General features: G+C 42.7%; 1 protein-coding gene and 1 long non-coding RNA gene across 14 annotated transcripts in view, besides 2 other annotated features; both read right to left on the reverse strand.

Annotated features, from left to right (window-relative positions):
• TRIM26 (tripartite motif containing 26) overlaps positions 1–230 on the reverse strand; it is a 28,952-nt gene extending 28,722 nt beyond the window's left edge. For all 13 annotated transcript variants that reach the window (XM_047419310.1, XM_005249378.3, XM_047419309.1 and 10 more), the window contains exon 1: positions 129–230. The gene's annotated coding sequence lies outside the window, so the exon portion shown is untranslated. The remainder of the gene's footprint in view (positions 1–128) is intronic.
• Positions 561–1,449: an enhancer, noted in NCBI's record as "H3K27ac-H3K4me1 hESC enhancer chr6:30181514-30182402 (GRCh37/hg19 assembly coordinates)". NCBI's record gives its function as "activates a minimal SCP1, AML or CMV promoter by ChIP-STARR-seq in naive H9 embryonic stem cells {active_cell/tissue: H9 hESC(naive)}" and the evidence as "EXISTENCE:reporter gene assay evidence [ECO:0000049][PMID:30033119]".
• Positions 908–1,090: a silencer, noted in NCBI's record as "fragment chr6:30181861-30182043 (GRCh37/hg19 assembly coordinates)". NCBI's record gives its function as "represses an EF-1alpha promoter that drives an FKBP-Casp9 reporter gene in an ReSE screen in HepG2 liver carcinoma cells {active_cell/tissue: HepG2}" and the evidence as "EXISTENCE:reporter gene assay evidence [ECO:0000049][PMID:32094911]".
• Positions 20,863–24,311, reverse strand: part of HCG17 (HLA complex group 17) — a 92,096-nt gene continuing 88,647 nt past the window's right edge. The window contains 2 exon segments of the long non-coding RNA NR_052012.1: positions 20,863–21,092; positions 21,182–21,274. This is a non-coding gene — a long non-coding RNA (HLA complex group 17).

A 24,311-nucleotide genomic window follows, 5' to 3' on the forward strand; every position in this document is an offset into this window, starting at 1 on the left:
CCTGAGCCCGCCCGGGGGCCTGGCCCCGTTTTGAACCCGGGCCCGGCGGCTGCGTTGGGTCGCCCCAAACCCGGTGAGCGTACGAGACTGTTGCTTCGCTGTATGTCTCATGTGCACCCCCTACTCACCGGTCCCGAGCTCCGGGCCGCGAATCCCGGCCGGCACCCCTCCTCTCTCACGGCGGTCTGTTCCGGGTCCCGCTCCTGCACGAGCAACCAGCGCGACAGCTCGTCCCCGCCCCGTAATCTCCCGGCTATTCGGGGCCCTTCGCCGAGATTTCTCCCGGACCAGCCCCGGGATTGGCTCCTGCCGAACTTCGCCATCCAATGGGAACCTTAGTCTCTTTTACGTCACTGATCACCGGGCAAATCCCCAGACAGCCGCGGGCGGTGGGGCACCAGGGGCAGCGAAATGGAAACTGAAATCAGGCGGGACCGAGGCTGCGCCAAGAGCCGCAGCCTGAGTTTGGCGCGTAATTGGGGTGGCCTGTTACACGGTCTAAGGGAGTAAATGCTAAGGCTTAGGAGTCACCTACGTAGGACTCTTGAGAGGGCAATAATCCCCTTTCCACCTCTCGAGACCCCTCACTGCCCAACTCTGGCCTTATGCTGGATCAGGGTCCGAGGGCGCTTTGAGGCGAAGGTGGCGCTCGCCAGGTGCTCAACATCAAATACGAAGTCCCCGCCCCTAACGTGGCCTAAATTTGCTTCCAGGACAAAGCAGGATTTTAGCAAGCAAATACTCTCAGAGACCTATTTACGAAAATTATTACTTCCTAGGTAAAATAACGTTCAACCAGACAGCCATTGTCGCCATTCGACGGAAGGAAAAACTGAGGTTCCAGGAGCTTAAGGGTCTGGGCCCAGTTCAGGGGGGTTGTTTTCGCTCCTCGACGCTGAATTTAGAAACCAGAGGCTACAAAGCGGGCCGAGACTTGGGTTCCCCAGGTCCTTGGTGGGGAGGTTTCCAGGAGGCTCGGGCGCGCCCCCGTCCACGGCCCCGGAAGCTGACGTCGCCGAAGCGTACGCCGCTGCCCAGCCTGCGCTCTCTTCCTGCTCTGCCTGCAGCCGCCGCGTCCGGTCCAGCCGCAGGGCCATGCCCTGTGCTGCGGTTGCCGTGTCCCAGGCGCCGCCGCGTCAAGATCCCCGTCTTTCCCGGCCAGCCAGGCGGCAGCGGCATTCAGCTCGTGCACTGGGCTGGCAGCAGGCTGAGAAGAGGCGGCGCAGGTTCTCCGGGTCAGCCAGTGCCCTGCTCCTAAGGGTAGAGATCTAGCTGGGGACACTGGTCGTCCGCCTAGGCAGTGGTGAGAGGGTGGGCTACAGTTGTTTGGGTATTCATGAATGGAGGAGCTCAGGGTCCTAGACCCTAAAACCTGCTGAATCTTCACCCCTCCTCCGCTGGGGGTAGGGAAATTTGCACTGCATTTAAGCAATGTATAGTGGAGTGGGTGGGACATTCAGAAGAAACCACGCCCACATTTAACACCCGCGTCCTTCCCTTCTACCCCAGCCCAGCATTTTGTCTTTTTCCCCTTTGTCCAGCAGTATAACTCACGCTGCCCCTCCGGGCTGAGAGGAGTGTAGACCTCACCTGCTGAGCACAACTCTGGCGGGCCTGTGCTCTGGAGGTGGTCTCAGCACCTACCTAGACCCTCTTGATACCTGCTTTTTTAGTTGGTGGTGTGGGAAGAAAGTGTGTTTAACATGCTCCTTAAATAATGCTCTGCCGCCGAGCGCGGTGGCTCACGCCTGTAATCTCAGCACTTTGGGAGGCCGAGGTGGGCGGATCACGAGGTCAAGAGATCGAGACCATCCTGGCCAACATGGTGAAACCCCGTCTCTACTAAAAATACAAAAATTAGCCGGGCGTGGTGGCGCGCACCTGTAGTCCCAGCTACTCAGGAGGCTGAGGCAAGAGAATCGCTTGAACCCGGGAGGCGGAGGTTGCAGTGAGCCGAGATCGCCCCACTGCACTCCAGCCTGGGGACGGAGCGAGACTCCGTCTCAAAAAATAATAATAAAATAAAAAATAATGCTGTGCCACTAAGCGTTTTCTCCCTGTCCTGAGGTCTTTGGCCTATTCACAGACCATTCTGGGCAGACTCCAGCCACAAATCCACCACCCCACTTAAAATTCTCTATCCTCTCAGCACACTTAGAGGGGCATGGAAGACTCTTGCAGGGGCTGGGGCTCCTGACATGACAGCTCTGCTTAACTCTCTGACCTCCCTCATGCCACTTCTCCCTCGGTCCCTGTGCTTTCACCTTACACCTGGTCTTGAAACTCCCTGCCCCAGCCCCTTGCATGGCTGCCCGCTTCTTGTCAGTCATGTCTACATCTCAGAAAGGTCTTCCTCCCTCACCCAGTTGAAACCAGTTCCCCATCATGCATTATTCTGTTTCCCTTTCTTCATGCATTTGTTGCCATTTGAAAGCACCTTGTTCATTTCTTTGTCAATGTGTTTATTTTCGATCTTCCTCCCCCTCAGTGTACGCCCCAAGAGAGTTGAGACAACACCTGTCTTCCATGCACATGGCTTCCATGTAAATAAATGTTTGTTAAATGAAATGAGCTCAGTGTGGGCATTTCTTTTTCTTTTTGTAAAAAAATTTTATTATTATTACACTTTAAGTTTTAGGGTACATGTTCACAACGTGCAGGTTTGTTATCATTTAGCATTAGGTATATCTCTCCTAAAGCTATCCCTCCCCCCTCCCCCCACCCCACAACAGCCCCTGGTGTGTGATGTTCCCCTTCTTGTGTCCATGTGTTCTCATTGTTCAATTCCCCAGTGTGGGCATTTCTAAAGCTGCCTGGCCCTGCTTGGCTGGGTATCAGTCATGCACTGAGTCCCTCTCCCACCACACTACATCTTGATTGATACAGCTTCTCAAGTCCAAGTAAGGGTAACAGAAATGGATGCTGGGAACACAATTTCTGCTTTGTGTTGGAGGAGACAGCTTTGGAGCAGCTTTGTAGCTTTGTGCCCCTCTACAGCTTCCTGCTTCATTTAAGGTTCTGAAGCAGAGTTGAAATTCCTTCCTCCAGCTCTCCATTTCTGTGGTCATACCAGATGGAGGCCAAGGCAGCATATGGGGCTGGGTAAGAGTTCTGCGTTGAATTCTCCAGTCTGCCACATTCTGTGAGGCTTTGGGGCAGCTGCTCAACCTCTGTGTGCCACAGGTTCTTCTTCTGTAACATGGAAGTAGCTAGATCTGCTTCGTACGGTTATTATGAGGCTTAAATGTAAAGCTTTGAAATAGTGAATCAGTGCTGACTAGGCCAAAGGGTATGGTATAATTATTTGCATTTGAAATAAATATCTTAAATGGAGCAAGAAGATTTAGTAGGTATATTCCTTGAGCAGCTCTGGTTTAACCTCAGGAGGAACTAAAGGCCGCTGTCTAAAAATGAGTTTGTATATGACAGGGTACAGGAAATGCCACCCCAAAATATGGCACCTTGGAAATTGAGAAAATAGCAGAAACAGGAAGGTTTCTCTGACCTCTTGCTCCTTTCTGCCCTGAAGCAGGCCATAGAAACTAGAGTTCCCCTCGCCCCTTCTTCCCTGAAGCAGGCCACAAAATCTAGGAAGGTCACTCTCTGACCTGCTCCCTCCTTCTCCCTCCTTCATCTGAGGCCCCTTATATAACAGGCATCCTCTCCTATGCCCTGAGGGAGGGACTGCCACACAGGTATGCCAAGAAGAAACTGAATAGACAGGCCTTTCCAACTTCTCAGTTTATCACCGTTAGCTCATACACTTTTGTCCTTGCAATCATACATCTGCCTGACTGTCTATACAACTACACAAATGTCCCCATTTCTTTGGGTTTTCGTTTCTGAAAGTTCCCATGTCATGTAAAACTTGGATAAAATAAATGTGCATGCTTTTCTCTTGTTAGTCTGTTTTTTGTTATTGAAGTCTCAGCATAAACCTTGTGATGGGTAAGGAAAATATATTAGTTTTTTTCCCCTAAGTTTAGTATAAACATATTGAGCTAAATCATACCATTCAGAATCTCAGGATTTTAAGAATACTAGAGTGCTTGGAAAGAGGCCTCCAAACAAAAAACAAACAAACAAACAAACAAAAACTTGAAAACATGAAACTCCCATTGGTAAAGATGCAAAGAATCTGTTTGAATCTTTTGTGTGAAGGATACCTTGGTATTAGGGCCAGAATGAATAAATGAATATCTGTAAAGGAAAAGGTAAAAGTTACATCAATGAAACAATTTTAAGCCAACATTTCTGTTTTCTGGTAGAGGCATAAGCTAATAAATAATTTTGTGCTACTAAAATCTGCCTGCTTTTGTGCTAAGAACTGGCTGCAGGATAAAAAATAACAGGTTTAACTGTCCTTTTTAAAAGGAAAAAAAGGCATTTTGAATGCTAATAGCATTAACTACTGGGTTTTGAACAGAAAGCGTAGGCTGAACCAATCTCTTATATGACTTGGGATGTCATTTAAAATACTTTGTATTCCAAATTTGGTGACTTTTAAATGTCTATTAGCTCAAAAGTTAGTGAAAATATATTGTATAATATATAATGACAAATTCAACTTAAAAAAAATTTTTTTTTTTTTTTTGAAACAGGGTCTCACTCTGTCACCCAGGCTAGAGTGCAATGGTGCAATCATGGCTCACTACAGCCTCGACCTCCTGAGCTAATGCAATTCTCCCACCTCAGCCTCCTGAGTAGCTGGGACAGATGTGTGCCACCATGCCCGGCTAATTTTTGTATTTTTTGTACAGACAAGGTCTGGCCATGTTGCCCAGGCTGGTCTCAAACTTCTGGACCCAAGCAATCCTCCTGCCTTGGCCTCCCAAAGTGCTGGGATTACAGGCTTGATACAACGCGCCCGGCCGACACTGTAGCATTTTCTAATAGGCCTACGTAAAAATTATCTAATTCTCTAGGGTAGTTTAACTTTGATTTAGTATTTTAGGGTATTTAGAGTACTCCTTAGGGGTAGACATTAACTTGTAGAAAAGTGATATCAATGGAAATGATTCTTGGTCAATAGCAATGTCAATGAATTTTGTTCAGTGGAGGTATAGAAGATGTATGTCCAGTGTATGTATATTCAATCTTCCAAATTCTCTTTGAACTAGTTCTTTTTTTACTAGTCTCTTGTTAGTACATCTTTGATACATGCTCACTTTTTCTTTGTATAGGATACTGTCATTGACTTTTAAAAATTATATTTTGGCAATACATTGCATTTTATTATTATGTCTCTTAATCTTATTATAACAATCTACCCTTCCCTTATTTTCATTCCATTAATTTGCTGGAGAAGCCAGTTCATTTATCCCATAGAATGTTCCCAGTACTGGATTTGGTTGATTGCTTCCTCATGGTATCAATTAACTTGTTCCTCTATTTCCTGTGTATCTTAGATAAGATTCATAAGATAATAAAGGATGCTATGTAGTCATCTCTCATTCTAAGCAATCAAACATTTTCAATATCTTTCACCATATGTCCCTAACCCAGATACTACTAGTCCGTCTCTCTCTGCTATAGAGGTAAGCATCACTCTGCATTTCTGTGATAATCATTCCTTAGCTTTTATTTTTATTTACTTAAAAGGCTTTATCAGATTTGGGGTTTTTGTTTGTTTGTTTTTGAGATGGAGTCTCGCTGTCATCCAGGCTGGAGTGCAGTGGTGCAATCTCGGGTCACTGCAACCTCTGCCTCCTGGGTTCAAGTGATTCTCCTGCCTCAGTCTCCTGAGTAGCTAAGATTACAGGTGCCCGCCGCTATGCCAGGCTAATTTTTGTATTTTTAGTAGAAACGGGGTTTCACAATGTTGGACCAGGCTGGTCTCAAACTCCTGACCTCAGGTGACTCGCCTGTTTCGGCCTCCCAAAGTGCTGGGATTGCAGGCGTAAGCCACCACTCCCGGCTGGGTTCAATTTTTTAAGGAGAATACTTCAAAAGCAGTGCTGTGTACCTATGGTATCACATTTAGAGGTATATGATCTCATCCCACTATTAGTGATGGTAGATTTGATGGAAGATTCAGGTATTGTCAGCCTGATCCCTCCATTCCCCAGTTTGTGAGTTATGGATTTACTGCCTCTCAGCTCCAAAAATGATCCTGAATCTTTTAATTATGTTTTCTTTGCCATCTGGCCCTGAAGCTTTGTCAGTAGAGGGCACTGGAGAGTCATTGCAGGGAAAAACGATTTTGCTTCCTGGTTCTGGTGTGCTGTTTGCCAGGTTCCTGCAGTGAGTGCATGGTTTAGCAGCACCTGCTCCTGCAGCACCCAAAACTTACCTAGTGTCCAGTTACTTCAGTCACAGTCAGCAACACCCAGCAGTGAGCAGCTTCCTTAGGCACCCCTCCTGAAGGGGTTTTATACTGGAGTGTCTCTGGTATGAACAGCTTTTGCCTGCACCCTAGAGAGTGGGTTTCCAGCAAGTTCTGCCATAGCAGAACCACCTTGATGTCTCTACTCTCCCTGAGAAGGCTAGATCCCATCCTCTCTTGTTTTCTCAAAAATGGACTAACCATCTATAAATATCTACTCTCCTGCTTCAGCAAATTTTTTTTACCGTTTCACTGAATTATTCTCATGAGCATACAAACATGTTATAATATATCGCTTTAAAAACCAAAACAAGACAAACTCCTTGATACCATAAGTTTTTTTGTTTTTGTTTTTGTTTTGTAGAGTTTTGCTCTTGTTACCCAGGCTGGAAAGCAATGGCACGATCTCAGCTCACTGCAACCTCCGCCTCTGGGTTTCAAGTGATTCTCCTGCTTCAGCCTCCCCAGTAGCTGGGATTGCAGGCGCCCCCCACCACCACTCCCGGCTAATTTTGTATTTTTAGTAGAGACGGGGTTTCACCATGTTGGCCAGGCTGGTCTTGAACTCCTGTCCTCAGGTGATCCACCACCCCCCTCCCCGCCCCACCCCGGCCTCCCAAAGTGCTGGGATTACAGGCGTGAGCCACTGCGCCTGGCCAGTAACATAAGTTTTTAAAAGGTTTTTGCTTCAGGTACTCTCCTATTTTCCTGCTCCACATTTACAGCAAAATTAGAAAATATTGTCTGTACCTGCCCTCTGTTTCCTTTTCTCTCCTTCTTTAATCAAAAACTGTGAAATATATATTCAAAAGTGTACATATAATCCATATACACATTTTAAAGTATTGATGAGATAATAAAGGATGTTATGTAATCATCGGTCACTCTAAGCAATCGAATATTTCCAATATCTTTTATTACGTGCTCCTAACCAATAGATCACTCTCCCTCTCTCTTTGCTAGAGCTGCATTTTTTTGTGATAATCATTCCCTAGCTTTTATTTTTATTTTTATTTTTTGAGACAGAATCTCGCTCTGTCACCCAGGCTGGAGTGCAGTGGCGCAATCTCGGCTCACTGCAACCTCCGCCTCCTGGGTTCAAGCGATTCTCCTGCCTCAGCCTCCTGAGTAGCTGGGACTACAGGCACGTGCCACCACTCCCAGCAAATTTTTTTGTATTTTTAGTAGAGACAGGGTTTCACCGTGTTAGCCAGGATGGTCTCAATCTCCTGACTTCGTGATCCGCCCCATCAGCCTCCCAAAGTGCTGGGATTACAGGCGTGAGCCACCGCACCCAGCTTTTATTTTTATTTTTAAGAGATTAGGTTTCAGTCAGTCATCCAGGCTGGAGTGCAGTGGCACAATTATAGCTCACTGCAGCATGTGAACTCCCGAGCCCAAGGGATCTTCCCACCTCAGCTACAGGCTCATACCACCACACCTAGTGAGCTTTTCTTTTCGTTTGGTTTCACTTCTTTTTCTTTCCTTTTTTCTTTTTTTTTTTTTTTTTTTTGAGACAGAATTCCGCTCTTGTCACCCAGGCTGGAGTGCAATGGCGTGATCTCTGCTCACTGTAGCCTCCGTCTTCCAGGTTCAAACAATTCTCCTGCCTCAGCCTCCCAAGGTAGCTGGGATTACAGGTGCCCGCCACCACGCCCAGCTAATATTTTTGTATTTTTAGTTGAGACGGGGTTTCACCATGTTGGCCAGGCTAGTCTTGAACTCCTGACCTCAGGTGATCCACTTACCTCAGCCTCCCAAAGTGCTGGTATTACAGGTGTGAGCCACCGCGCCCGGTCCCAGTGAACTTTTCTTCTTATTATTATTTTTGTAGAGATGGTGTCTAGCTATGTCGCCCAGGCTTGTCTCAAACTCCTGGCCTCAAGCAATCCTACTGCCTCAACCTCCCATAGTTCTAGGATTAAAGACAAGCCACCACACCGGCCATCCTAGCTTTTCTTTTTATTTATTTATTTATTTATTTATTTTTTATTTTTTAGTGTTTATTGATCATTCTTGGGTGTTTCTCGGAAAGGGGGATGTGGCAGGGTCATAGGATAATAGTGGAGAGAAGGTCAGCAGATAAACACGTGAACAAAGGTCTCTGGCTTTCCTAGGCAGAGGTCCCTGCAGCCTTCCACAGTGTTTGTGTCCCTGGGTACTTGAGATTAGGGAGTGGTGATGACTCTTAACGAGCATGCTGCCTTCAAGCATCTGTTTAACAGCACATCTTGCACCGACCTTAATCCATTTAACCCTGAGTGGACACAGCACATGTTTCAGAGAGCGCAGGGCCGGGGGTAAGGTTATAGATTAACAGCATCCCAAGGCAGAAGAATTTTTCTCAGTACAGAACAAAATGGAGTCTCCTGTGTCTACTTCTTTCTACACAGACATAGTAACAATCTGATCTCTCTTTCTTTTCCCCACATTTCCCCCTTTTCTTTTCCACAAAACTGCCATTGTCATCATGGCCCATTCTCGATGGTCGCTGTCTCTTCGGAGCTGTTGGGTACACCTCCCAGACGGGGCAGCCGGGCAGAGGCGCTCCTCACTTCCCAGACGGGGCGGGTGGGCAGAGGTGCTCCTCACATCCCAGACGATGGGCGGCCAGGCAGAGATGCTCCTCACTTCCCAGACGGGGCAGCTGCCAGGCAGAGGCGCTCCTCACTTCTCAGATGGGGCGGCTGGGCAGAGGCGCTCCTCAGTTCCCAGACGGAGTGGCGGCCGGGCAGAGGCGCTCCTCACATCCCAGACGGGGCGGCCGGGCAGAGGAGCTCCCCACTTCCTAGATGGGGTGGCAGCCAGGCAGAGGCTGTAATCTTAGCACTTTCGGAGGCCAAGGCAGGCGGCTGGGAGGTGGAGGTTGTAGCGAGCTGAGATCATGCCACTGCACTCCAGCCTGGGCAACATTGAGCACTGAGTGAGCGAGACTCCGTCTGCAATCCCAGCACCTCGGGAGGCCAAGGCGGGCAGATCACTCGAGGTCAAGAGCTGGAGACCAGCCCGGTCAACACGGCGAAACTCCGTCTCCACCAAAAATACAAAAACCAGTCAGGCATTGCAGCGCATGCCTGCAATCCCAGGCACTCGGCAGGTCAAGGCAGGAGAATCACGGGAGCCCAAGGCAGGGAGGTTGCAGCAAGCTGAGATCATGGCAGTACAGTCCAGCCTCTGCAACAGAGGGAGATCCAAGGGAAAGGGGGAGAGGGAGAGGGAGAGGCCAAGGCCTAGCTTTTCTTTATACTTCCTTGATACATGTATGTATCCCTAAACAGGATATTGTCTAGTTTTGCCTATTTTTAAACTTTGTATACGTGGAATTGTAATGTATGTGTTCTTCTGTGACTTGTCTTTATTTCTGAGATTCACCATCTTGATGCATATAGCTTTGGCTTGTTCATTTTCACTGCTGTGTGGTATTCCAAATTTGAAAGTCCCATGTTTTTTTCTTCTCCATTTTACTATTCTTAGAACTTGGTTTGTCTTCATAGTTTTGCTGTTATGACCAATGATGCTATGAACATTCTCATACATGTACCCTGGCACATACCTGCAAGACTTTTTAGAATATGTAACTAGTAATGAAATTTCTGAGTCTTAGAATGTGGTTGCAGTATATATAGTGTTACTTTGTGAGGGGAGACTATTTCCCAGGGGTTGTATAATCTACATTCCCTTTAGTGGCAGATGAAATTCCCATTAAACCACATCTGCAACTTCACTTGGAATTGTCAGACTTTTGACTTTTTGCCATTTTGATGTGTGTGAAATGTTATCGCATTTGGTTTTAATGTGCATTTTCCTAATTATTAATGAAGCTGAGCATTTTTCTTTTCTTTCTTTTTTCCTTTTTTTTTTTTTGGCCAGTTGTATTTCTCTTTCTGTATAGTGTCTTTTATGTTTTTTATACTTTCTTCTATTGGCTATTTTTAGTTTTCTTTTGGATTTGTTACCAAAATGCCAAGGGTTTGGTCTAGGTTGCTCACTGCACAGTAAGCCAATCACTGAGACAACAAGTATTGTGAGGGAAGAAGGCTTTATTCAGGTGTTGCAACCGAGGAGATTGGAGATCAGTCTTAACTCTGTCTCCTCTTTTCAACAGATTAAAATTAAGGGTTTATAGAGCAGGGAAGAAAGGTAACTACATATGGGAAAACAGGAATTAGGGAGGGGTAAGGAAGAGGAGTTGGTCAACAGGCAGCCTGGGGTCAGTTAGGCAGTCATGAAGGGTGAGGGGTCTGGTGTCTTAGCAGATGCAGTGAAAGGTAAGTTTCAGTTTCCTGATACTACCAGGGAGCCCTGATCATCAATTTCCTGAGAAAGGAACTCAGATAAGACAAATGTAAGTTTCTCAAGTTTTAAGACTTGTAGGGTAAATTTCTATGTTTATTAAAAGAAAAAAAACATAATCAGTCCTATGGGACAAATGGGTTGGTTTCAGATTTATGGGAAATATTTGTTTTTTGTATATTCTGGACACTAATTCCTTGTTGGTTATATGTGTTACAAACATCTTCTTGGAGTTTCTGGCTTGTTGTTTCTCTCTCTTTATGTCATCTTTTGAGAAGAGAGAAGCATTTGTTTTTTCATTCTAAAGTAGCTAAACGTATCAATCTTTATGTTTTGGACTCTTGGTCTAGTTTAATAAGTCCTACCTTGTCTTGAGATTACAAAGATAATCTATATTATTGACTAAATATTTTTCAGTTTAGCTGCTATAGACTGAATGCTTGTGTCCCTCCTAAAATTCACATGTTAAAACCTAATCCTCAGTGTGATGGTATTTGGAGGTGGGGCCTTTGGGAGGTGATTAGGTCATGAGATCAGAGCACTACTGAATGGGATTTGTGCCCTTATGACAGAGACCCCAAAGAGCTCCCTTGTCTCTTCCACCATGTGAAGACACAATGAGAAGTTAGCAGTCTGCAACCCAGAAGAGAACATTCATCTGAAACTGACTGTGCACCCTGAGCTCAGACTTCCCCTACCTCTAGAACTATGAGAAATAAGTGGTTGTTATTTAAGCCACCCAGTCTATGGTATTTTTGTCATAGAGGCCTGAACAACTGAGACATTTGCCTTTCATATGTAAATCTTTATATATCTGGAATTAATTTTTGTGTTTAGAGCAAAATATATATTTGTTTCCCCTTTTTTCCATATGGTTAACTAATTATCTCAGTGTCATCTAATGCACAGCCTCTAATTTTCCCCACTGTTTTACACTGCAAGCTCTGTCATATGTTATATATCCATCCATGCCTTCACCAATACTCATTGAGCATCTACTTTATGCTAAGTGCTCTTCTGGGTCCTGGGAATAAAGCAGTGACAAAACAGACAAAAATCCCAGTGGAGCTTGTGTTCTGTTGGAGGAAGGCAAACCACGAACAAAGTAATAAAAAATTTGTAATACTCCGGATGCAGTGGCTCACACTTGTAATCCCAGCACTTTGGGAGGCCGAGGCGGGTGGATCACGAGGTCAGGAGATCAAGACCATCCTGGCTAACATGGTGAAACCCTGTCTCTACTAAAAATACAAAAAATTGGCTGAGCGTGGTGGCACACACTTGTAGTCCCAGGTACTTGGGAGGCTGAGGCAGGAGAATCGCTTGAACCTGGGAGGCAGAGGTTGCAGTGAGCCAAGATCCTGCCACTGCACTCCAGCCTGGGCGACAGAGCAAGATTCAGTCTCAAAAAAAAAAAAAATTTGTAATATTAGATGGTGGTAGGTACTATGAATTAACACAAACCAAGAAGGGGAACAGGGAGTGGGGAGAAAATATTACAATTTTAAATAGGGAGGTTAGAGAAGTCCTTACAGAGAAAGTGATATTTCAGCAAATGCCTGAAAGAGGTTAGAGAGCCAGCTTTGAGAATATCTGAGAGAAATGTGTTCTAGGCAACGGGAAGAGTCTGCACAAAGGCCTTGAGGCAGAAGCATGCCTAGCAAGTATAAGGAGCAGTAGGGATGCCAGTGTGTCTGGACCAGAGTGAAGGAGGGGTGAAGTGCAGGACATGAGGTCATCAGGTGAAGTGCAGGACATTAGCTCAACAGAAGTGAGCGGGTCCAGGCTGGGTAGGACCATGTGGCCCATTCTAAGGACTTTGATTCTACTTTGAGTGAGATGGATGGCACTAAAAGGACAAAGGACTGATAGGCTCTGACTATAGGCTTTAACTCATGTTTTAATTTCTCTGGCTCCTCTGTTGAAAATAGAACCAAGGAAACAAGAATGGAGGTAGCAACATCTGTCAGAAGGCCATTGAAATAAACTAGGCAAGTGATGATGGGGGTTGTGGGAAATAGTCAAGTTCAGAATACATTTGAAGATAGAATTAACACAATTAGGTATGGTGTGATAGGAACAATAGAGACAAGGATTATGCCCAGGTGTTTGGCTTAAGCAACTGGAAGGATGCTGAGATGGGAAAGACTTGATAGAGGGTAGGGGCGTGGGCAGGGACAGACCAGGGGAGAGGATTTGGATCTGATTTTGGATATGCTAATTTTGAGATGTCTATTAGACATGCAAAATGTAGACCAGACTCTCGACTCATTTAAACTACTATTAGTGGCTAGCCTTTTCTCTTACCTTCCAGATTTCTGGGCAACACTCCACTCTTCCTGATGCACACTCTTGCGTTGCAGCCTGGGACTCTACATTTCAAGCAAGATATTCTTACACATAACAAAGCTTGAAAAGCATTGCTTTAAGCTTTCCTTTGTCTCTCCAAGTACCTCCAAATGTGTATTTAATGCTTTTATAATCAGAAAAGTGTTACAAAATCAAATACCCAAAAAAAATTCCCTATTTTCACAGCATACCATACAACTACTTTCTACAGAGTTTCCAACATTTTGCAGTAAAATCATTGTTCACAATTTTTTTGGGTCACAGTTTTTGGCAAATGAAGCATGGTATAGGATGCCTGGGACTGTGGAGTTTCCCAGGACACAGGACTTTCCACGCAAAACCAGAAAGGTTCCGGACAAACCAAGAAGAGTTCTTCACCCCAGACGTGTGAAACCAGTGGCAAAGTGCCTGCTTTAGGGAAGGCAGCATGGGACAGTGAATCAGAGTGGACACTGAACCTGGGTCCATTTGTGGAAGGTGGTCCTGTTACAGGAAAGAGGTCCCAATCCAGACCCCAAGAGAGGGTTCTTGGATCTCGTGCAAGAAAGAATTCAGGGCAAGTCTGCTGGAGTGCACAGCAAAAGCAAGTTCAGTGGTGAAAGAAGAGCTAACCCATAGACAGAGTAGGGCATTCCAGAAAGTAAGAGGAGGAACGCGTCCACCCTAGGTACAATGCTTATATATATATCTTTATATATATATCATATATATATATGATAAAAGAAGATCATGGGAAGATGTGCTCTGCTACAAGAGTTTGTGATAAAGGATTAATTTCCTTAATTACTATGTTTTGCAAGAATCAATATTATTATCTTTAAAGCAAAATTAGAAGTGCCTTTGTTCTCCAGGTGTCAGGATTATCTGGACATTGCTAAATCTGGGTCAGTTTAGTAAACTTTTTTTTTTTTGAGACAGAGTCTCCCTCTGTTGCCCAGGCCAGAGTGCAATGGCACAATCTTGGCTCACTGCAACCTCCGCCTCCTGGGTTCAAGCGATTCTTCTGCCTCCATTTCCCGAGTAGTCGGGACAGGCACATGTCACCACACCCAGCTAATTTTTGTATTTTTAGTAGAGACGGGTTTCACAATATTGGCCAGGCAGGTCTCGAACTCCTGACCTTGTGATCCACCCACCTCGGCCTCCTGAAGTGCTGGGATTACAGGTGTGAGCCACCTTTCCTGGCCTAGTAAATATTATTAATCTATTCCCTTAACCATAAATGTCTAGAGGCTAGGAATACCTATATTTCTGGAAATGCACCCCGCCAAGTTGCAGCCTCATTTTCCTAGCTCTCACTCAAAATGGCGTCGCTCTGGTTGGAATGCCTCTGACAGTCTTTATGAATGATAAAAGAGTGTAGTCAATCATAAAGCTCTGACTCACTCCCAGTTTGCCCTTTCCTTCCTAGAGAATGTCTTTCAGGCTCTTCCTCCCCTCAGAAGCTTTCAACATCCACTCCATTCCCCTAAACTGGGGACCGAGGACATTGCAGCTTCTTTGGTGCTTCTAGGGACCAGAACATAGCTTCTTTTAGTTATGGATTAGGTTTTTATTGCTGCTGTAACAAATTACCACAAACTTAGCTGTTTAAACAACACGAATGTATTCTCTTACACTTCTGCAATGTCGTTGGTGGGCCAGATTCAGATTCTGGGCCACACAAAAGAATTTGAGAGTGAGTCCAAAATAAGACTAGGCAAAGGAGTTTATTGCAAAGTGAAAGTACACTCTGAGAGGCAGAGTGGGCTGCTCAAAGCTAGCTCAAAGCTAGAGGCAGTAGTTAGTGCCTTAAGGGGAATTTCCTTTGTGGAAACTGTACATACATATTAATAAAATACTGGTGAGATCAAGTAAGCAAAGGCAGACCTGTGGTTAGCACATGAGCTACTTGGTCTAACACGCATCCCATGTATCATTAGCGTATAAAATCCCCACGTGGTGGTGTGTTTTTTGCTATTACAATGAGGAAAAGGTCACCATAAGCTAAACCTTGAGCCTAGCTGTGTATGCAAGACCCTGGAGAATTTCCCAGTCACACCTCCACCCACCCCAACCAAGGCAGGAATTTGTAGCTAATAGCTTCTTGGGCTTTTGGTGCTGATTGGCTGGAGATGGGTAGCTACATCATGAACAAAGGGCTTTCGTTCTCTTTCCCAGGCTGTATAGGGTATCAAGAACTTGTAACCACCTGGCAGAATCCTGCAGGACTGCTTGTCTTGCAAAAGACTTCAGTGCTGATGCAGGAGGGTGCAAGTGAAAAGAATTCACTGTAAAAGGAGCCGTGGGGCTTCACACATGGGACAAGTTAGTATGGCCTCCTAACCTTACTTATCTTGCCTCAGTAGGTCAGAGGTCTGAAACAAGTCTCAATGGGCTAAAATCAAGTTGTCAGTGTGGTTGCATCTCTTTTTGAAGGCTTTAGGGGAAAATTTGTTTCTGTTCATTCTGGTTGCTTGCAGAACTCAATTCCTTGTAGTTGGAGGACTAGGTTCCTGTCTTTTTACTGGCTTTAAACAGAGCTGTTAACAGCTCAAAGGGCTGTAGAATTCCTTGGCTCATAGCCTCTTTTCTCTGTATTCAAATCCAACAACAGTTGGTTATGTCCATCTCATGTCCTATCTCTCTGAGCTACATTCTGCTTCTTCTTCTTTCCACTTTTATTAAAGATTGGTGTGATTAGATTGGACCTCATACGGCCTAATAACCTCCCTTTTTACAAAGTCAACTGATTAGCAACCTTAATTCTCTTTTGCCATATAACATAATATAGTCAGGTTCTAGGGATTAGGACATGGACATCTTGGGGATAGGGACATTCTTCTGCCTTCTACAAGTTATATGGGATATATTGAACCTCTAATATGTGCCAGGTGCTATCATAGGTTCTGGTGATACAGTAATGAACCAAACAAAGGCCCCAACCTTCATGAGTTTATGTCTCAGTGAAATCCCATATGCAATACTATGAATGTATCTCTTTATTTTTTAGTACACCTTAAAAATAGCTTTATTGAGTCCAACTGATATTCAATAAACTGCACATATTTATGTTTTTCATGCTCTCTCAAGATGTGGAACAAAAAAATAGCACACATATTTTTGTACCTGCCTGGTAAAAATTCCCAAAGCTTTGCTTAATTCTATTCAGGTTGTTGAACAAAATTTACATTAGCAACAAATACCAGGGAATGAAAATAATGCACTTTTGTTGATAAAGTAACAGATTTTGCCTGGTTGTCTTTGGAGCCGTCATGCTCTGTGTGTGTTTCTGCTTCCAGATTTCTTTTTTTTTCTCTCCAACTTTTATTTTAGGTTCAGGGGTACATATGCAGGTTTGTTACATGAATAAATTGTGTGTCACAGGGGTTTGTTGTACAGATTATTTCATCACCCAGGTAATAAGCGTAGTACCTGATGGGTAGTTTTTTGATCCTCACCCTCCTTCCACCCTCCATCCTCAAATAGACCTCAATGTCTATTGTTCCCTTCTTGGTGTCCTTGTATACTCAATGTTTAGCTCCCACTTATAAGTGAGAACATGTGATGTTTGGTTTTCTGTTCCTACATTAATTTACTTAGGATAATGGCCCTCCAGTTCCATCCATATTGCTGCAAAGGACACGATCTCATTCTTTTTTATGGCTGCATAGTATTCCATGGTGTATATGTACTACATTTTCTTTATTCAGTCTACAGTTGATGGGCAGTTAAGTTGGTTCCACGTCTTCACTATCGTAACTAGTAAACTGCATGTATTTAAAGTATATAATCTGATGAGTTTTGACATAGGAATCCACCTGTGAAATCATCACCACAATTAAAATAATGAATATATCTGTCACCCCCCATAGCTTTTCCCTGCTCCTTTGAATTCAACCCATCCTATAATCCATCCCCAGGCAAATACTGGTCTGCTTTCTGTCACTATAGGTTGGCTTCCTTTTTTAGAATTTTACATAAATGAACTCATAATATGTACTCTATTTTTGTCTAGATTCTTTCATCCAGCATAATTATTTTGTGATTAATCTATGTTGTTGAGTGTATAAATAGTCCATTCCTTTTTATTGCCATATAGTAGTTTATTGTATGGATGTACTACAATGTGTCTATTCATTCAAATGTTGATGGAAATTTAGATTGTTTCCAGTGTTGCCTGCTTCTTGTTGCATTTAGCAAAATATTATAAGAAAGTGCAAACTCAGGCAAGAAATGACCAGATTGCAAGCAGAGATTGAAGGAAATAGAGTCCAGAGATGTGAGTCTTTACAAGATTGAGAAATGCTTTTATATTTCAGATAACAGGAAATATGGCTTTAGTTGCTTGTGTTAGGCCAAATAATGACTGTCCCCCCACCAAAATGTCCACATTCTAGTCCCCAGAATCTGTGAATATGTTACCGTACATGGCAAAAGGGACTTTGCAAATGCAATTAAGGACCTTGAGATGAGGAGATCATCCTGAATTATTCCAGTGGGCCCAATTTAATCACATGAGTCATTAAAAGCAGAAGATCTTTCCCAGCTGCAGTAAGAGAGAGACATGTGATGATGGGACAAAGGGTCAGAGAGATGTGTTATATTGCTGATTTTGAAGGTGGAGAAACAGGGCCATAAGCCAAAGAATGCCAGCAACCTCTAGAAGCTGAAAAAGGCAAGAACACAGATTCTCCCTGTGAGCCTCTAGAAGTAATGTGGTCCTACTGATACCTTGATTTTAGCTTAGCGAAACTAGTGTTGGTTTTCTGACTTACAGAACTGTAAGATCATAAATTTCTATTATAAATATATAATATATATTATATTATCATAAATTTATATTTATAGATTATACATTTATATTTAAGCAACTAAGTTTGTGGTAATTTGTTAAATCAGTGATAAAAAACTAATACCTTCCTCTAAGCTTTTCCCAAAGGCCTTGTATTAAGGCAAACAGAAGGACAGACGCCTAAGGAAACAATTAGATTAAAGGAGTTTTCTTCCCACTCAAAGTTGTTACCATTAAATTAAGAGTGACATGAGTCATTCAACAGAGCTTAGAACAAAAGATTTCAGAATCAGACCTAGAAAAGAACTTTGGTTGTGGTCACTGATGCATGAAACAAATAAACAAGAAGCCCTTTTAGTTTTTGAAGAAATTGTATTCCCAAGGAAGCCATAAAGCCTAACATAAAAAAGCCTGTGGTTAAGCTTAAAATAACTCATAGGCCCTCAAATTGCAACCACAGAAGTCAGGCTGCAAAATCTGTACGGGGCAATCCTAAGAAATGAGTACTCCTCACTTCTTCTTATATTGGCTATGGTAGATAATGGAGAAGAAAGAATCTTCCAGAAAGCAAAGCCAGTGGTCAGGATGACAAACAAAGGAGTTCCTCCCACAGAGAGGACCAGTGATAGTCAGATGGACTAAGCTTGGAACTTACTCCATTGAGAGGGCAAGGATAATTTAGGATTCCTACCCAGTAAGATTTAATCATTGCTGTGGGCCAATGATTGTGTGTTTCTGTTTTTTAAATAAGAGTTTCTTTTGCCATTATCCTGTTCTCACTTCACCATTGTATATTATCTGTGTTTACGTGGTAGAGGGTGATAATTTAGATTTTATTACTTTATGGGTCACTGGGCCATGAGGACTCAAGTGTATATCCAATAGAAAACTGCATGTCACCTAAAGATCCTGGATTTTGAGCTGGATGTCATAACTGGATGAGATATTTCCCTAGGGGGTGAGGTGAGTTTTTTCTAAATGTGAAAAGTAGAGTATATGTGGATTATTGGTGACCATTGCTGGTCTGTGTAATGACTTCTAACTGACCACAAAATCCATTTTCCTTCTCTCAAACAAATAAAGTATAGCTGAGACCTGGCCGGACCACATTTCCTAGCCCTCTTTGCAGTTAGATGTAGCCATGTGACTAGGGTCTTGACAAAGGAATATAAGTTGTGATAAATGAAACAGTCACCTCACAGATTAAAGAGACCTTGAACTTCAGCCCTTCTTGAAACCCTTCATCATTGGTTGAAGCAAATTGATCTTGTAATCACATGTTGAAGATAGAAGAACTTCTAATAGCATGCATCCCTAAGTGACTTCATAGAGTACAACCACTCACCATCTTGATAAACCTACCCAGGACTGTTGAGATGGAAATAAACTATTTTGTTTGAGTCATCTCATTTACAGTTTTCTCCATTATTACAGTTTTGTTTTCTACCCTAACATGCAGAATAAAATAGCTATAGGAAGAAGTAAATAGTTTTCATGTATCCAAATCAACATTTAGGTAGAAGATATAACAGAAGAAAAGATACTATTTATAATATCAACAAAAAGATAAAATACTCTGGAATGAACTTACTTTGAAATGTGTGATACCTATATGTAACAAACACTTAAATACTTTAAAAACCTGAAATATTTCTCGAATACATACATTGATCATCATAAAGTTATCATCCCTCCGGGCTAATCTTAATTTAACTTGTAAAAAATAAAAATACCAGAGGTGTTCTTTTTTTTTTTTTGAGACAGAGTTTCACTCTTGTTGCCCAGGCTGGAGAGCAACGGCACAATCTCAGCTCACTGCAACCTCTGTCTCCCGGGCTCAAGCGATTCTCCTGCCTCAGCCTCCTGAGTAGCTGCGATTACAGGCACACACCACCACCCCAGCTATTTTTTGTATTTTAGTAGAGATGGGGTTTCACCATGTTGACCAAGCTGGTCTCGAATTCATGACCTCAGGTGTTCCTCCCTCCTCAGCCTCCCAAAGTGTTGGGATTACAGGCGTGAGCCACCGTGCCCAGCCAGGTGTTCTTTTTAACTAGATAAACTGATTCAAAGATTCATATGAAAAATAAAGAAAGAATACCAACTAAACCTCAGACAAGGGGAGCTTGAGAAAAACTGGCTTTGCCAAATATGAAAACATTCTAAAGCCTCAATAACAAAAAGAATGTGATGTTGGTACATAAACAGACAGATCAATGAAAAATAAAAGGAAATCTAGAAATAGACCCAAGCATACAGTAATTTAGTGGATGATAAAAATGGGATCTCAGATCAGTGGAAAAGATAGATGACCATTCAATAAATGCTTTTGAGATAACTGGATAACTACATGGGAAATAATATTTAAAGTTGGGCACAATTCCAACTGTATAGCATGATAAACTCCAAATGGGTCAAAGTTTTCAATGAAAAAAAGGAAATATTCCTTTCTAACTTTGGAGGAGGGCTATCTAACTGTAACTCCAAATCGTAAAAGCCATAGGACAGAAAATTAATAAACTGAACTACATAAAATAAAAAGCAGTTCCGAGTAGCAGAAAATATCATAAAAAATCAAAAGACAAATGAAAAACTTATAGAAATATTTTCATGCATATCACATCCAAAGAAATGACCTCTTTAGCAATTAAAATGCACCTTAAAATTGAGAAGAAAGAGACTAGCAATCTCTGAAAGAAAAAGTAAAAAGAATTTTAACAGACAATTGTTGTTGAAATTCTGTCTGCTGAAATCCTTTTTCCTTTTTTCTGTCTCGGGAACTGTGAAGAAACTCAGAAAAGGAAACAAAAATAGTTATTAAACACATGAAAAAACACTTAACCTTGCTTTTACCAGAGGAAGAAGAAAAACTACAGGAGATATCATGTCTTTCCTGTCAGATTGGCAAAAAGTTAAAAGTTTGGCAACACCCTCTGTTGACAAGGCTATGGAGAAACAAGCACTTTGATTTATTGGTTATAGGAGTCCAGTTTGGGACAAACCTTTTGGAGGACAATTAGGCAATCAATACCTTTCAAAATTGTTTGTGAATACAGCCTTAAACCTTTCAATTTCATTTTTTGAAACTCATTCTACAGATATAATTATACACATGCAAAAATATTATGTACAAGTTTATTCAATACTGCTTGCCTTAACAAAAGATTGGAAAAATTCATGCACCTATCAATTTGAGACTAACTAAACACTCACACACACACGAACAATGGAATATTATGCAATGAAAATCTAATCACAACGCAGGAGGTCTCTGTGTGCTTTTGGTAAGATCTCCAAGATATATTGTGAAGTGAGAGAATGAGGTGAAGAACGTTGTATAACAGGCTACCTCTGTGTCAAAAAAAGAGGGAATGAAGAGTCATTATTATATTATCATGAAAAAATTGGAAGATACACAGGTAATTAACAAAAGAGATTACCTCTTTGGGGTAAGGTGTAAACTGGACAGATTGTGGACAGGATTCTGAGTGAGATCCTTCACTGTTCAGTCTCCTTTGCATCAGTAAGTGTCTCTTAAAGTAAATGGACAAGTAGAGGAATGGTGTCAGCATAATGTGGAAGCTGCATTGTGTAATATACAATTTCCCCCATATGTTAATGTTCTGCACTGAGTAATAGCAGCTGTACCAAAATAGCAGCCAAGTCCCAAACACGATTTAAGGGAGCAAGCTATGAATACAATGCTGTGCACAATGCCGTTGACTCCTTCTCCACTTTACTCATTTTAGCTACATTCTCTATCCTGAAGTGCTTACTAAGTAGTTCCCCCAATTTTCATGCACTTTTTCTGAACTATTTTGAGAATGGGAATATTAAGATGTTGCCACAGTTCCATAACAACTTGTTGCTGAGATGCCCCTTAAGAGTGGGGAAGAAAAATCCATTAGACTTTAGAATAATTCCACAAGAGCTTTCTTTTTCTACTTTAGGTGTGATTGACATGCATTTGTAGATGTGTTAGTGCAGATTGCACTTCATGGCACAAGGTCCTATTTGGAGCCATAACAGCAGCTTCTTAATGAAAGAAGGAAGGTGGCAATACAGAAAAAAAAAAATCAGGTGTTTTTTTTTAAGCAGGTGCAAAACAAACAAGCAGAAAATAACCATCCAGAGCTACCCATCTTTGTCATCTACATTTTGTGCAAAGCTTCAACTGCTTATCCTCTATAGCTTCTCATGGTGATGTCCCTCCACCTTGTCTCCATAAAGCAGCAGCTTCCATCTTTCCTTATCCCCTTGTATCTTTAGTTCCCCCTTTATTTATTTTATTTTATTTTTTCATTCTTTTAATTGTTATTTTTTTTGAGATGGAGGCTCGCTCTGTCGCCCAGGCTGGAGTGCAGTCGTGCAATCTCGGCTCACTCCAACCTCCGCCTCCCGGGTTCAAGCCATCCTCCTGCCTCAGCCTCCTGGGTAGCTGGGACTACAGGCACGTGCCACCATGCCTGGCTAATTTTTTGTATTTTTAGTAGAGACGGGGTTTTACCGTCTTAGGCAGGATGGTCTTGATCTCCTGATATCGTGATCCACCCACCTCGGCCTCCCAAAGTGCTGGGATTACAGGCATGAGACACTGCACCTGGCCTCCTTTTTTAAATTTTTTTTGAGATGGAGTCTTGCTCTGTCACCAGGCTGGAGTGCAGTGGTGAGATCTCGGCTCACTGCAACCTCTGCCTCCCAGGTTCAAGCGATTCTCTTGCCTCAGTCTCCCGAGCAGCTGGGACTACCGGCGCGCACCACCATGCCCAGCTAATTTTTGTATTTTTAGTAGAGATGGGGGTTTCACCATCTTGGCCAGGATGGTCTCGATCTCTGGACATAGTGATCTGCCCACCTCGGCCTCCCAAAGTGCTGGGATTACAGGCATGAGCCACCCCTCAGCCTAGCTCCCCCTTTAAAAAGTCTTTCATCTATTTAGAGTTTAACAAGTCTTTTTTTTTTCTCTTTAAAAACTATGCTAGTATTTTTATTCGAATTGTTATTGCTTTGTTAGTGTTATGAGTATGAAGATGAATAGATTTTGAGTTGCCTATCAAAACTCTGTTTTTCCTACAAACACTTGTTTTTTTGTGAACATTTCCATATGAATTCAAGGACCTGCTTTTCCATATCTGTTTAAAAGGCTGTTGAAATTTTGATAGAGATTAATTGAGTCTGTAGATCACTTTGGATATTATTGACAACTTAACAATTTTAAGTCTTTCTACCCATCAACACAAGATGTCTTTCCATTTATTTAGATCTTCAATTTCAGCAATTTTTTATAGTTTTCAGTGTACATTCTCACTTGAGTGTACATCCTCACTTCTCCCTCTCCTTCTCGGTCTCTGGTAACCGCTATTCTCCTCTTCCCTTCTATGAGATCAGCTTTTGCAGTTCCACATATGAGTGAAATCATGTGCCATTTGTTCTTCATTGCTTGGCTTACTTAATATAATGTCCTCTTGGTTCATTCATGTTGTTACAAATGACAGAATTTCATTCTTTTTATGGCTGAAAAGTATTCCATTGTGTACATACGCCACATTTTTAAAAATCTATTCATTCTTTGATGGCCACTTTGGTTAATTTCATATCTTGGCTATTGTGAATAGCGCTGCAGTGAACATGGGAGTGCATGTATCTCTTTGACGTACCAATTTCATTTCCTTTGGATATATATCCATTAGTGAGATTGATGGATCATATAGTAGTTCTACTTTTAATTTTTTGAGAAGCCTCCTTACTGTTGTCTGTAATGGCTTGGATAATGGGGTGGCTATTGGTACGTGTTCCTGAGGAATAGGAAGAATGAGAGAGATAGTGGATTTGGATGTGTGAGTTTAAGGTGCAAGATTCAAGTGGTGGTTCAGTAGGCCTTGGTAGCTCCCCAGAGTTTGCATCTGTAGGTAGAGGTCACTGTTAGTGATAAAGTTGTGGTTTGATTTGTTTTTCAAAATGTAGGTGATACCTACTGTCATGAAACCAATTTTGCAGGTTATAACCAGCATTTTTAAAACGGACTGTAATTTAAAAATCAGAATATATTACAAATAATAAAGAAAAATGGTACCCAACAAAATGTGTGTGTGTGTGTGTCTGTGTGTGCATATGCATGTATATTAGACTGGGACATGAGTGACTTTTTTACTGTGATGTTTCAAAACATGTTTGAAAAAAATTAGTTTAAACCATGATGAAGAGATTTCTCAGGCAGTGTATGAATAACAGACCTGTGGATGAACCTAGTGCATTCTTTTCTTTTCTCTTCTTTTGTGACGGAGTCTGGCTCTGTCGCCCAGGCTGGAGTGCAGTGGCACAATCTCGGCTCACTGCAAGCTCCGCCCCCCGGGTTCACGCCATTCTCCTGCCTCAGCCTCCCGACTACCTGGGACTACAGGCGCCCGCCATCACGCCCGGCTAATTTTTGTATTTTTAGTAGAGACGGGGTTTCACCGTGTTAGCCAGGATGGTCTCGACCTCCTGACTTTGTGATCCGCCCGCCTTGGCCTCCCAAAGTGCTGGGATTACAGGCGTGAGCCACCGCGCCCGGCCAAAACCTAGTGGTTT

Source organism: Homo sapiens, chromosome 6, assembly GCF_000001405.40.
Source record: "Homo sapiens chromosome 6, GRCh38.p14 Primary Assembly".
NCBI classification, from domain to species: domain Eukaryota; kingdom Metazoa; phylum Chordata; class Mammalia; order Primates; family Hominidae; genus Homo; species Homo sapiens.